This window comes from Homo sapiens, chromosome 10, assembly GCF_000001405.40.
Source record: "Homo sapiens chromosome 10, GRCh38.p14 Primary Assembly".
NCBI lineage: Eukaryota > Metazoa > Chordata > Mammalia > Primates > Hominidae > Homo > Homo sapiens.
In genome coordinates, this window is record NC_000010.11 from 126,891,888 (window position 1) to 126,905,690 (window position 13,803).

General features: G+C 50.8%; 1 protein-coding gene and 1 long non-coding RNA gene across 18 annotated transcripts in view, besides 1 other annotated feature; one reads left to right on the top strand and one right to left on the bottom strand.

Annotated features, from left to right (window-relative positions):
- Window positions 620-1,120: an enhancer, noted in NCBI's record as "H3K4me1 hESC enhancer chr10:128581076-128581576 (GRCh37/hg19 assembly coordinates)". NCBI's record gives its function as "activates a minimal SCP1, AML or CMV promoter by ChIP-STARR-seq in primed H9 embryonic stem cells {active_cell/tissue: H9 hESC(primed)}" and the evidence as "EXISTENCE:reporter gene assay evidence [ECO:0000049][PMID:30033119]".
- LOC105378550 (uncharacterized) lies at window positions 8,824-13,491 on the bottom strand. Its single transcript, XR_946449.3, has 2 exons — window positions 12,673-13,491; window positions 8,824-12,555 (listed from the first exon to the last, which is right to left on the bottom strand). It is a non-coding gene; the product is annotated as an uncharacterized LOC105378550 (long non-coding RNA).
- The window catches only part of DOCK1 (dedicator of cytokinesis 1), a 547,089-nt gene continuing 546,826 nt past the window's right edge, over window positions 13,541-13,803 (top strand). For all 17 annotated transcript variants that reach the window (XR_007061946.1, NM_001377544.1, NM_001290223.2 and 14 more), the window contains exon 1: window positions 13,541-13,676. Coding sequence is in view for 16 of the 17 variants with exons in the window: in NM_001377544.1 (NP_001364473.1) it covers window positions 13,631-13,676 (46 nt within the window). In the remaining variant the exon portion in view is untranslated. The remainder of the gene's footprint in view (window positions 13,677-13,803) is intronic.

Genomic DNA, 13,803 nt, shown 5'->3' on the forward strand with positions numbered 1-13,803 from the left:
TACACACACCACCCAGGTTTTGCAATCCTCCTCTTTGTCATGATTCAGGGCTCAGCTCAGTATGTCATCACCTCCCAGAGGCTTCCCTGAAAGCCCCCAGCTAAAGCATGCACACACACACACCACACCAAAACCACACACATACACCACACACACCATACACACCACACACAACATTCACACACACACCATATACAACACACACAACACACACACCATACACACACATCATATACCACATACCACTCACCCACATGCACACACCACAGATATGCTGCAACACACAGCACACACACCCCACAACATACCACTCAGCACACAAGACACCATAACACACATACACCATATATACACACACCACACACATACATACACAACATGCACACAGCACACTTACACACACACACACACACACCCGGATTTTCCCCTTTATGCAGTTTCATTTTCTCTCTGGCACTTACCAGCTGCCGGGATCTGGCTGATCTATTTGTTCACTGGTTTATTTCCTGTCCCCCACTGGAGGACAAACGCCCTCAGAGCAGGCATCCCTCCACTGTCATATCCTGAACTTCTGGAACACGACCAGGCTCCAAGAGCTGTTCAGGGAACCAGAAGTTGCAGGGAGGCCCCTGACCTTTGCCGTCACCATCCCCACTCCCATCCTCAAGTCCTCACCCCCCTTACAAATCCCACAGCCAGGGCTTGTGCTGAGCAGCAAAACTCAGGGATGGGATTCCCTTTGCCCAGTTCTCCTGTCAGTCTAGGGGACCTCTCTTCTCCTCCCTGATTCAGCACACACCTTCCCTTTGTACCTGCTACCAGACACTGGCCTCTGTCTTTCCAAACGTCATAGCTTAGTGTCTCCACATGAGATGGCGAACCTTGACAGGTGCATTGAGGGCGTGTGCTCAAGAAAAGGGCAGGGAGGAAGCAGGAGGTGAGGACACTAGGGCAAGAAGTGGTGTCCCTGGAGACAGAGCAGCCTCCCCTGATCCTGGAGACCCCTGGAGCAGGAAAACCCCCACAGACCTGTCCCACTTGCAGGCAAGAAGCTGGCGTTTAGTGCCTCCGTGCCCATCAGTCAATGGCCTCAGCCTGGGGTGGGTGGAGACGAGCTCCCATCCAGCCAGGACAAGATCTGCCAATGGGGGGCAGCCAGAGCTCGCTGCAGCTGGGGATGCCGCCCTGGCAGGGAAAGTTACCTAGGCAGGCTCCACGGGCTTCCACCTGTAGTGTTTAGGTTCATACAAACGCCCAAAGGGCCGTGGACATCAAGCATCCCCCTGCTTCCTGCTGGGGAAGCCCCTCAGGAAAGGAAATACTGAGGGGGTAGCCCTGCCCCAGTGGAGCCCAAGAGAAATATGCAGCCCAAATCGCTATCTCACATCTCATGCATTAGAAGCAAGTGTTCAATAAATGTTAGTTCCTAGCTGTCGGCGTGGCCGCTGCAGCAGGGAATAAAGAGGCCTGGTCTCCCCACCTGCTCTCCCAACCCAAAGCCAACCCTGCAGGCTTGGCAGCCTTGTCCGCTCACCTTCCCATGGGGTGCTCAGCTCAGAGAACAAGATGGAGGAGACCCCTTTTCCCTGCAGCGCATCTGCTCTGCAACGGGCTCTTTTCCAAGCAGCAGGAGAGCCCGGAGCTATAGATTTGATAGCCTTAGGAAGTTCCATTCAGGTGGTGCTGTTCTCGCAGAATTTCTTCATTACTATTTTTACTTGTGGAAAGAAAATCAAGCATGCCTAAAATACACCAAAAGCACCTGTTTCATAAACCTGTTTTATTCCACTGCTTAAAAAAAAAAAAGAATGAACTTCAGAAAATGAAGATCCCTTTTTAAATCTGGATTCATCCAGAATAGGAATTCTACACATAGTGCAATTATTAGATAATTTAAATAGTTTGAAATTTTAATTTTTATAACATTATCACAACCTGGTATGTGTCACAGGTCAACCTTGGAAAACATTCATGGGTCCACCTGGGGGTGGGGTGCGGGTTCCTCATAACTCAGTGAGTTCAAGTGGAGTGTGGCAGAGGCTGAAAGAATTCCTTCCAAAGTCTGCCCCAGAGGGAGTCTAACTCACCCGGAGGGCCTTGCCTGTTACCTGCAGCCAGGTCAGAGGGGCAGCCAGGAGCCAGGAGGGCACAGGCACCATTTTGTTCAAGGTTTATCTCCCTGTATCCACAGTTCCGAGACCGCGCCGGGGCCCAGCATGTTCCTGGCCCTCTCCTGGTCCTTGTCATGGCCGAATGGCTGGAGGCAGGCAGCCCCCAGCCCTGCTGCCTTGGCCACGTCCTCCTTATCTGATTAGAACCCCTCTATGTATGGTCTTGCCCCTCCAATCCAGCAGAATGCACTTTCTAACGCATGGCTTTGTCAAGCGTGCCACTTTCTGCTTAAAACTCTCCTGGCTCTGCCTGCTTCTAAGACAGAATCCAGATGTCTTAGCCTGGTCCCCAGACCTTTCAGGGTGGATGCTTCCACACTGACCCTGTGAATGGTCCCCACTAGAGACTGCAGGTACCTGTTGTGAACATACACATGTGCATGCACACATGTGTACACACACCCATGCATGCACACATGCACAGCTTCCCACTGCCAGTCTGCGTCTGTGCTGTTCGTTGCTGGTGGAGCTCATTTCTTCCTCCCCACAGGTGCTTTTTCTTTTTTTCTGTTTTAGACGGAGTCTCGCTCTGTCCCCCAGGCTGGAGTGCAGTGGCACCATCTTGGCTCACTGCAAGCTCTGCCTCCTGGGCTCATGCCATTCTCCTGCCTCAGCCTCCCGAGTAGCTGGGACTACAGGCGCCTGCCACCACGCCCGGCTAATTTTTTGTGTTTTTAGTAGAGACGGGGTTTCACCGTATTAGCCAGGATGGTCTCCATCTCCTGACCTCGTGATCCGCCCACCTTGGCCTCCCAAAGTGCTGGGATTACAGGTGTGAGCCACCGCGCCCTGCCCAGGTGCTGTTTCTTCTTTGCTCATTCATTCATTCATTCATTCATTATTTCTGCAGCCCCATTACCACTGCAGGGCTGGGCCCCTACAAACCCCTCCCCTGCAAACTCCTCCCATGTCCCCTCCCTGCTTCTCAGCCCTGCCTCGCCCTCTTTGGGGCAAAAGCCCTGCAGAGGGCATAGTGTCCACGGTGTGGGACGGGAGAGGATTTGAAGTGTGCACATTAATGAGCACTTCTTTCTTCGGGTAGTCAGGCCTTTATTTTTTGTTATCTTGAATTTGTGGCAAGTAATACTGGTTCTCCTTCCTAAAAACAACTTATTTCTTTTTTCATTTTAAGAAAAAGATTAAGCAAGCGATATTGGATGTGCCCAAAGTCCTTCAGATGGTGGAACAGTGGCTCGTTTTCAGACTCATGGCCCCAGCTGTATCTACTCTACCTTGCATGCACACCTTTCCACTGTAGCTTTTCCTAGTCTCTTGTTCCCTCTGGACCAGGAGCTCCCGGGGGGAGGCAGAAACATCTCTTGGCCATCATTGTGTCCCCAAGGCCTGCGATGCCCAGCACTCAGTGCACTGTACACTCAGTTCCCACCTGAGCTGGGCCCTGTGTGCTCCACAGCCTCCTGCTAGGCCTGGTTGTGCATCTGGCTTGGCCCAAAAGTGACTTCCTCATTTCCTGTGGTCCGGTCCTGGTTCCTGGATGACAGCCAAGCAGGGAGCAGTGTGTTTACCTGCCTGCATCTGGCTGTGGTCCTGCCTCAGATGTTCTCATGACTCCACCGCTGACCTTGGGTCCCCTGGGTGGCTCTGCAGCGCCTGATTCAGGGCCCAGCCATGGAACCAGAAAGACAGAGCCCAGTAACGGGTTTGCGAATATATTTGAAGGTCCTTGGCGTGTTCTCTTCTGGGAAAAGGTCTGGGAGTGGGTGCCCTGTGATGCTTACTTTCAGATGGCTTGTCCAGGTTCAAAAAAAGGTTAATTGGGATTGCTACGTATTCTCCACTGTCAATCAGCTGCTCCCTTACATGGGCCAGGTCAGCTGGTGCCCAGGGCAGGGCACTTGGGCTTGTATCTCTCCGTGCCATACACAGCCCCTGCAGCACCCAGAAGGGAGGCCGAGTTGCTCAAGACCCCCATTTATTCAGTCCTTCCTTCCTTTCTTTAGACATTCATTCCACAAACACCTTAACCCATTTCCCGGATTCCAGTTTTTTCCCTCCGCAGTCTATCTTCCCTACTGCCACCAGGGTGAGCTCCCTAAGGCATAGTTTCAGATTGTGCTACTCCCTGGGCTCAGTGATCTCAGACCCCAACCCTCTGGCCCCATATCCTGCCACTCACTGTCCACCTACCCCCATCCTCCAGTCCCAGGCACTGAGCACTCTGCCAACAAGGACCGTTCCTTCTGCCTGGAATGACGTGTTTCCATCACGCCCGCCCTTGCCCCCAGAGGTCACCTCTTGGTCCACTTTCCCCAGTTCCTCCAGCTAGTAGGAGTTTCTCTTTCTTCTGGACACCTTAAGCCTGCAGTCATGTCCGAGGAGGGGAAAGGTGTGGGTTTGTGTGTTGGACTTCCTTGAATCACACCTCTGGAGCCTGCCCCCAGTGTGCCTTCTGATGTATCAGCAGAACCGTGGGATGAATGTTAAGATCTGGCACGCAGTAGGCACTCATCCAACCATGGGAAGATGGGAGGTCTGGCACACGGTAGGAACTCATCCAGACTCTGGCAGTAACTGGGAAGCTTGGCATGTTCACAAGGACCCTCCTGGGTAAAGGAATCAGGCTCCGAGGCTCTGAAGAGGAAGCTGCAGCAGCTGTGGTTTGAACCTTCAGATGGTGACAGCCAGACCCTGGAGTATGGCCAGCCCCCAGCTCTGCAGCCCCCATCCTGTCCTTAGCCTTTGGGATGGCTCTGGGTGAGGATGTACGACAGAGGGCAGCCTCACAGCTCCTGTGCAGGGGACTGCAGAGTCAGCAAGGAGAAACGCCAGCCATGTGTACTGAGCACCTACGATGTGCCAGTGCATTCTTTTTTGTTGAATCTTTCCAACCATCCTACAAGGCAAGGATTAGTTCAGAATTGGAGACTGAGGCTGAGACTCATTCATTTAAGGTGTTATGATTAGGAGGTGGCTGAACTTGGAGCCTCCTGACATCTGTTTGACCCAAGCCCTGCAATTTTATAGTCATGGCTTTTTTCTACCGTTAGTGCATAAACTCAGTTCAAATAGTTTTAAGAAAAAAGGCCAGGCGTGGTGACTCACACCTGTAATCCCAGCACTTTGGGAGGTTGAGGTGGGCGAATCATGAGGTCAGGAATTCAAGACCAGCCTGGCCAATATGGTGAAACCCTGTCTCTACTAAAAATACAAAAATTAGCCAGGCATAGTGGCGGGCGCCTGTAGTCCCAGCTACTCGGGAGGCTGAGGCAGGAGAATCGCTTGAACCCAGGAGGTGCAGGTTGCAATGAGCCGAGATCGTGCCACTGCACTCCAGCCTGGGCGACAGAGATTCTGTCTCAAAAAAAAACACAAAAAACAAAAAACAACAACAAAAAAAGTCATGCGTGTTTCATGTAACTGAAAAGTCCACGGAAGAGAGTGTCTTGTTCCTTCAGGTCCATCAGAAACTCTAAACTGAGTCAATAGATGGGTCCCTGAATTAAGTGCTGGGCCAAGAACAATGGCATTCACTGATTGCCAGGACCTGGGTCATGAGACAACCCCTAGCAGGCAGTGGGAAGGGGAGGGTCTGTCCCTCCTGAACTTCTTGGACTGGGAGTAGGGGAGGGTGGATGTACTAGTTTCCTGGAGCTTCTAGAATAGAATATCACAGACTGGGAGGCTTAAACGACAGAAATCATTTTCTCACAGTTCTGGAGGCTGGAGGTCTGAGATCAAGTTGTGGGCAGATCGAGTTTCCTCTGAGGCCTCTTCTCCTTGGCTTGTAGATGGCCACCTTCTCCTCACATGGTCTGTATGTGTGTGCAGCCCTAGTGTCTCTATGTGAGTACAAATTTCCTCTTTTTCATTTGTAGAGACAGGATCTCACTATGTTGCTCAGGCTGGTCTCAAACTCCTGGCCTCAAGTGATCCTCCCACCTTGGCCTCCCGACGTGCTGGGATTACAGGTATGAGCACCTGGCCCAGCCCTAAATTTCCTCTGCTTGTGATGACATCAATCAAATTGGATTAGTGCTCACCCATTTTACCTTAATGACCTCTTTCAAGGCTCTATCTCCAAAATACAGTCACACTCTCAGGTACTGGGGATTAGGACTTTAACATATGCATTTTGGGGGGACATCATTCAGCCCATAATAGTGGATCCCCAAAGAACAATCAGGATGGTGTTACCAAAAGAGGAGTGAGTGGGGACACAGTTACAGTAGGCAGCCACTATAATTCGCAGAGCTCAGAACAGTAGCAACAGTGAGTGCTCCCAACCAGAGATAGGAAGGATCACTTCTGCCTAAGTTTAAAAGGAAGAAACTGAGAATACCAGAATTTGCTGGCTAGAATTAGGGACCTCAGAGATCATCTACACCAGTCCCACATGACAATCGCAGCTCCCATGAAAGCACTGGCTCTGGCTTCCCTGGCCTCTGGTTCTTTCCTTATTATGTTCATAGTTTCCTCTATCTCTCTGGTCACATAGAGTGTATTTATAACACTGTTTTCAGGCCTCTGTCTGCTAATTCCATCATCCTTGTCATTTCTGCATTTGTTTCTACTGACTTTTTCCCCTGGTTGGGGGCCATATTTTCTGGCATCTTTGCATGGCTAGTAATTTTTGACTGGATGCTAGACATTGTGATTTTACATTGTTGTGATTAAACACTGCTGTACTTCATTCCAGCATGCAGCAAGTAACTTGAGCTCAGTTTCATTCTCTTGAGTTGGCTTTTAAGTTTTATTACTTACCAGAGTAGCCTTTGGTTTAAAGCTGTGATCTTTTGGAGGACTTTGCCTGATACCCTCTATATTGTGAGGTATTTCCACACTGGCTGGAGGGAACATTGAGTACTGTGTGAGTTTTCTGAATTATTCCAGGCCTGGTACTCTCTGGTGTCCTTTCTGCTGCCAGCCTCACGGAGCTTCACTCCACAGATGCAGAGATCAGCATTCAGACAGAGACTTAGGGTGGCCCTTCTGCAGAACTCTGGTGTTCTCTCTTTGGGTGAGCAGCTCCCTCATCCTGGGTACTCTGACCTGCGAATCCTAGTGACTTCGCTTCTCTGAACTCCATTATCTTTTTCCACCCAGTGAGACTCAGGGTTCAGTTGAGTTCTCCCTCCTGTGCGCAGCCCAAAGCTGCCTCCAGGAAGGAAGCTGGGCAACCACAGGGTGCACCTCAGTTGTTTTACTCCTTTCAGGGATCACAGTCCTGCACCACCTGATGTCCAGCGTAGGAAAACCATTGTTTCATCCAGAGTCCTTACCTGGGCTAAGCTCTGCTACCATTATTTCATTAAATCTTCACAACACCCTAGAAGTCACACTATCTTAAAAATGAGGAAATCTTGCCAGTCAGAATGGCAGTGATTAAAAAGTCAAGAAACAGTAGATGCTGGTGAGGCTGTGGAGAAATAGGAACACTTTTACACTGATGGTGGGAACGTAAATTAGTTCAACCATTGTGGAAGACAGTGTGGCGATTCCTCAAGGACCTAGAACCAAAAAATATCATGTGACCCAGTAATCCCATTGCTGGGTATATACCCAAAGGAATAGAAATCATTTTACTATAAAGACACATGCACACATAATGTTTATTGCAGCACTATTTACAATAGCAAAGACATGAAACCAACCCAAATGTCCACCAATGAAAGACTGGATAAAGAAAATGTGGTATATACACAACACGGAATACTATGCAGCCATGAAAAGGATGAGATCATGTCCTCTGCAGGGACATGGATGAAGCTGGAAACCATCATCCTCAGCAAACTAACACAGGAAGAGAAAGCCAAACACCACATATTCTCACTCATAAATGGGAGATGAACAATAGGAACACATGGACACGGTGGGGGCCAGACAACACACACACCAGGACCTGACAGGGGGCCAAGGGGAAGGAGAGCATTAGGACAAATATCTAATGCATGAGGGGCTTAAAACCTAGATGAAAGGTTGACAGGTGCAGCAAACCACCATGGCACATGCATACCTATGTAACAAACCTGCACGTTCTGCACATGTATCCCGCAACTTAAAGTAAAATTAAAAAAAAAATGAGGAAACTTAAGAGTGGCCAGGTAACTGTCTCAGAGTCAGACAACCGCTAAGGTCTTCAACACATTTGTTTCTATGAACTCTCCCTGGCACTGTCCTGGACCCAGAGGCCCAGATGTAGAAGGTATGAGAGCATCCAGGCTCCAGGGACAAGGCCTTGCAACCAATATCCAGGCCTCCTTTCACTTCAGAATTCTCCTCCTGCAGATGTCCTGGCTCCCAGTTCCAGAGCTCCTTTCTTTGTGTACACAGTGTGGGAAGGACTGCTTGGTCTGCATTTATAGTCACCATCACATTTGCCCATAAGGCACACTGACGCAGCACACAGCAGTCTCTATTTAACAGCATATTTGCTCAATGAAACTGATTGAAATTTAACACGTAGGGTCTGCCTTAATGATCTTCTTGGAGAATGCTGAGCAGTGCACCTGGAGTGTGGAGGCAGCGTCCAGGCTATTAGAGTGAAGCCAGTCAAGGTGGCTGCTTCTCAAACTGATTTTTCAATCTCAAGCTCCTCCTTCCTCCACTTTGACTTTATTTTACCAAGGATTTCAAACATGGAGAAAAAAGTAGAAAGATGAAACACTCATAGACCCATATCTAGACTGAGCAATTTTGCTTCATCTTGTTTATTCCTGTAGTATTTTAAATAACAAATACAATGACGGTTCACTTCTAAATACTCCAGCATGCAGCTCTAAAATTTAAGGATCTTTTCCCACCTAACCATAACAACTATTATTATACTTAACAAAATAAAAAAAATACATCATCTAACACCAGTCCATAGTTCAAACCACCTCTTGCCCTTGACATTTTTTTAGTGTTGGATAATTAAAGCAGTTTCCAATTAAGGATAACACAGTGCATTTAAATGTTGTATTTCTTTTCTTTTCTTTTTTTGAGATGGAGTCTTGCTCTGTCACCCAGGCTGGAGTGCAGTGGCGCGATCTCGGCTCACTGCAAGCTCCGCCTCCCGGGTTCACGCCATTCTCCTGCCTCAACCTCCTGAGTAGCTGGGACTACAGGTGCATGCCACCATGCCCGGCTAATTTTTTCTATTTTTAGTAGAGACGGGGTTTCACCATGTTAGCCAGGATGGTCTCGATCTCCTGACCTCATGATCCGCCCACCTCGGCCTACCTAAGTGCTGGGATGACAGGCGTGAGCCACCGCGCCCGGCCAAATGTTGTATTTCTTACATCTTTTAAAATCTAGAACAGCTCTTCTCCACTGGCCCCTTCTTGCTCTATAATATTGACTATTGAAGAGACCAGACTACTACCTGAAAGAATATTCTACCTTCTGGCTTTGTTTCAGTGTCTTTTTTTTTTTTTTTTGAGATGGAGTTTCACTCTTGTTCCCCCAGGCTGGAGTGCAATGGCACGATCTCTGTTCACTGCAACCTCGGCCTCCCGGGTTCCAGTGCTTCTCATGCCTCAGCCTCTTGAGTAGCTGGGATTACAGGTGCCTGCCACCATGCCCAGATATTTTTTTTTAGTAGAGATGGGGTTTCACCACGTTGGCCAGACTAGTCTTGAACTCCTGACCTCAGGTGATCTGCCCATCTCGGCCTCCCAAAGTGCTCAGAGTTACAGGCATGAGCCACGGTGCCTGGCCTGTTTCACTGTATTTCTTATGGTGTCACTTGTTCCTCAACCTCCTCTATTTCCTGTAAGCACGAAGTTGGGTCTAAAGTCTTGAATATACACTTTTGGGCTGGGTGGCATTGTGCATTGTGACTACATGCCTGGTCATCCAGTATGATGCCCAGATCTCCCACTGAATCCAAGAGGCAGTGGGCATAGGCCTTGTTCCTCTCCTTTCAAAGGGCAAAAAATCTGTGGTCAGGCCCCTTTTCCTGCATAAAATCTCCACATCCCTGTTCCATTCTCATCTCTCCCCACCGACTGAGAAACATGCCCCATTGACTCACTGTGCCTTCTGGTACCTCCACCAGGCAAGATTTTGCTGAATTTACCTCCTGAATTTGCAGTGCACATGTGTGAAATTTTTTGGAATTAAAAAAATTAAAACTGTACTTTTCAAGATTTAAAACTGTAATATTGATTGTGTTCTTCATGGCCCCAAAGCAAGATTCTGTTGTATCTTGGAGGAGGGGGGTCACTACTCTGAAATCCCAGTGATGGGCAGCACTGAGCAACTGAGAGCCTCAGCATTCTTGGGCTTGTTCACACCCACAAGCTTGGCACAGATCCAAGTCCTGCAAGATGCCTGGGAGGGCAACTGAGACCTGTGGCCCAGCCACATTGACTCAGGAGGTAAAAATGTCAACAGGCCACAACCTCCAGGGCTCCTGGAATTGGAGACGAAGCCAGTTCTGAGCTTATGCAACCATAGGACAGTGAGAGAGGGCCATGGACTCGATTTAGAGCCACAAGATGAGAGCACTGCTGGAGCACCGTGGGGATGCTGACAAATCTTCTCAGGGCTTCAAGGACCGTGGCTACAGGTACATCTCAGCCAAACTTGGGCACATGTTGCAATCAAGGGACTGAAGCTACAACCACCTGGCCCGTGGTCCACCTGGAGTTTTGTTTTGTTTGTTTTTGAGATGGAGTCTCACTCTGTCACCCAGGCAGGAGTGCAGCGGTGCGATCTTGCTTCACTGCAATCTCCACCTCCTGGGTTCAAACAATTCTCCTGCCTCAGCCTCCTGAGTAGCTGGGACTACAGGTATGCGCACCCACGCCCAGCTAATTTTTGTATTTTTAGTACAGACAGGGTTTCTACTAAAACCCTGGTTGGCCAGGCTGACCTCGAGCTCCTGACCTCAAGTGATCTGCCTGCCTCAGCCTCCCAAAATGCTGGCTGGGATTACAAGCATGGGCCACTGTGCCCGGCCCCACCTGGAGTTTTAAAATTCTGATTTATAAATTTATTATATGACAGTCTACCAAAAGTATGCAAATCCGGCACTACACTTATTTATGCATTCAGTGAGTCACCTTTATCTGAGTGCAAGTGGCAACTGTTCTAGAAAATGGGAACCATGAGGTTATCAAAGAACCTGGAGGTAGGGTCAGATGAGGAAGCACATCATTATGATGTCTTACACATGCAGTCATGTCTCCTCTTATAATCCTAAGACTCACCTGTGAGATTCCTATTACAGCCCCTAGTTTACATGTAGGAATATCAGAACCCCAAGGTTTAGAAACAGAACGGCCAGAAACAGGAGGAGGATGGCCATGCAGCTGGGCGTGGCAAGGCCAGGCCTCCCAAGTCTGCATGACTCTTAAGCTCCTGGCCATTCGTTACAGCACGCCATCTCCAATGCAGAATCACACCAACAGAACTGAAACTGCACATTAAAGAGAAGGCGAGTGTCACCAAAATCTGTTTCCCAGGCTTCTTTGCAGAATTCCAAATTCCTAGCACGACCAATAAGGCCCTTCTTCTACCTCTGCAGCCTCAATTTATGTCACTTTCCTGTTGTTCCCTATGCTTCGGCCATCCTGGCCTTTCTGTGCTCTGAAGGAGTGGTGCTCCTTCCTAAACCAGGGCCTTTTCACGTGCTGTTCCCACTCCAGTTCACCTAGCTGGTTTCTGCTTATCCTTAAAGTCTGGGTTTATCTTATTTCCTCAAGGGAGGCCTCCCTGCTCTGGAGCAGGTCAGGCCACCATGTCCTTTACCGTAGAGCACCCTACTTGTCCTGGACAGCACCTTCACAGATGCTTCTCCTTCAAGGGGTCAGAGTCACCAGGCCACCACTACAGCGCCTGAGCCCCGGAGGTTTCTGATTTCCACAGAAAGCTTCAAGTGCATGCTGTGTGTGAGTGAGCCTGGCCACTTCCTCTGTGGGACTTCAGTTCCTTATCAGTAAAACAGAGCCCGTGGCTTTCCATGAATGTGGGGTTGACTTACCAGAATGCTCAGGTCCCACGTTATCCTCTTGAACGCAGCAGCTTTCCTCTAACCCACGAAAATGGAAAAGCTCCTGTGCCATTCCCAAATACTTATTTAATCTGCATTCTGGGTGGCCCCTAGGGCAGGTGACGGGCATTCTCTACCGCAGGATGGTGCCCCACCTGGTCCTCCCCAGGCCCTGTGGCCATCCTGGCCACCTCCCTGTGGGCTCTCCCAGCCCTGCTGTTCAGCACTGTCCCTACCTCACAGAGGTAGGGACCTCTTTTTCTTACCTTCTTCCTTTTCTTACCTTCGTTCCTCCAATCCCTGACGGCCCCCAGACCTACTGTAGTTGTCTCTGTGTCTTCGGAGAGAAGACACCCCATTAATGTGCCATGAAACCAAATTTATTCCATTTAAAGGGCTGCCTTCATTCGGAGGCTTTGTCCATGTCTTGGTTTTAACCTCTCTTTTCTGAAATTACAGTAAAAATAAATAGGTGTGTGTTGCTTTAACTTTTCCCTTGGAGAAATCTGAAGCCCCCACCTTTTACTGTCATGGGAAACACCAGGGCCTGAGAAGAACTCCCACCTCGGGCGAGGATGCCGTTCCTGAGCCCCACGCGTGGCCTGGGCTTTCCTTTCCCTACTTCTCTCTTCCCCCGACTTCAGCAGATCCTGAGTCCCACAACTATTCTAGCATTAGCTTCTGCAAGCCCAGCTGGGCTGAGGTTTCTGCGGCTGCTTCCTCTTGGTCTCTCTGGAAAACTCCACTCATTCAGCACCCAAGCAAGAGGTCACCTGTCTGGAACGCACTCCCTCGGCAGCGCTGTGCCACCTCTTTCCACCCCATTTGAGTGGCCGGCACTTACCTGTGCTGTTTGTTACCTGACGTGTCCCTTCTCCCACCTACCAGGCAGTTGGTGCGGCGCTCCCAGCACACTCGGGCAATGAGTGGGCAGGCGCTCAGGTAACGTTTGTCGAATGAATGAATGAGCCACGTGCTCAGGAGGACCCTTTCCAGAGCCTCTGCTGGTTTGTTCTGCTCCGGGACTCTCCACCAGGGAGAAATCCGAGCTGGGGACCTCGCACCACCAGGCTCCGGCCTAAGCCCGCGCCTTGCAAGCCGCCCGTTTCCTACCTCCCGTAGAAACCCCCCGTCCGTCCCGCCCCCCTAAGGGCGCACCCCTCTCACGGCGTGAGCGCCAGCCCCGGGAGCTCCAGGAACTCAGGAGAACCCCGCGGGGGTGCCCGGGTGCGGAGCGCGGGGCTGGGCGCACTGGGACAGAGGAAGGGGAGCCCCGGCGACCGCGGGGTCGGGGCCCAGGGTCCGCGCCGAGGGCGGGCGCAGAGCCCGCGGCCGTCCCGCCTCCCGCCGGCGCTCCCGGCCTTTCCCATCCGGCCCGCGACGCTCCGCCCGCCCCGTCCCACATGACGCCGCCTCCGCCGCAAACTTTTTCCTCCCCATCCTGTCGCGGCTCGAAAGGAATGGAAAATGGCGGCCTAGACGCGGAGTTTCCTGCCCGACCCGCGGCGGCTCCGGCGGCGCCATGACGCGCTGGGTGCCCACCAAGCGCGAGGAGAAGTACGGCGTGGGTGAGCAGCGCCGCCGCCGCCGCGCCTCTCGCCCCAAGCCCAGGCTCCGGCGGGGCGGGTGTGCCGGGCGCCTGTTGCCGCCGCCCCGAGCGGCCGCCGGGCCGGGGAGAGGCGCTTCCGCCCGCGC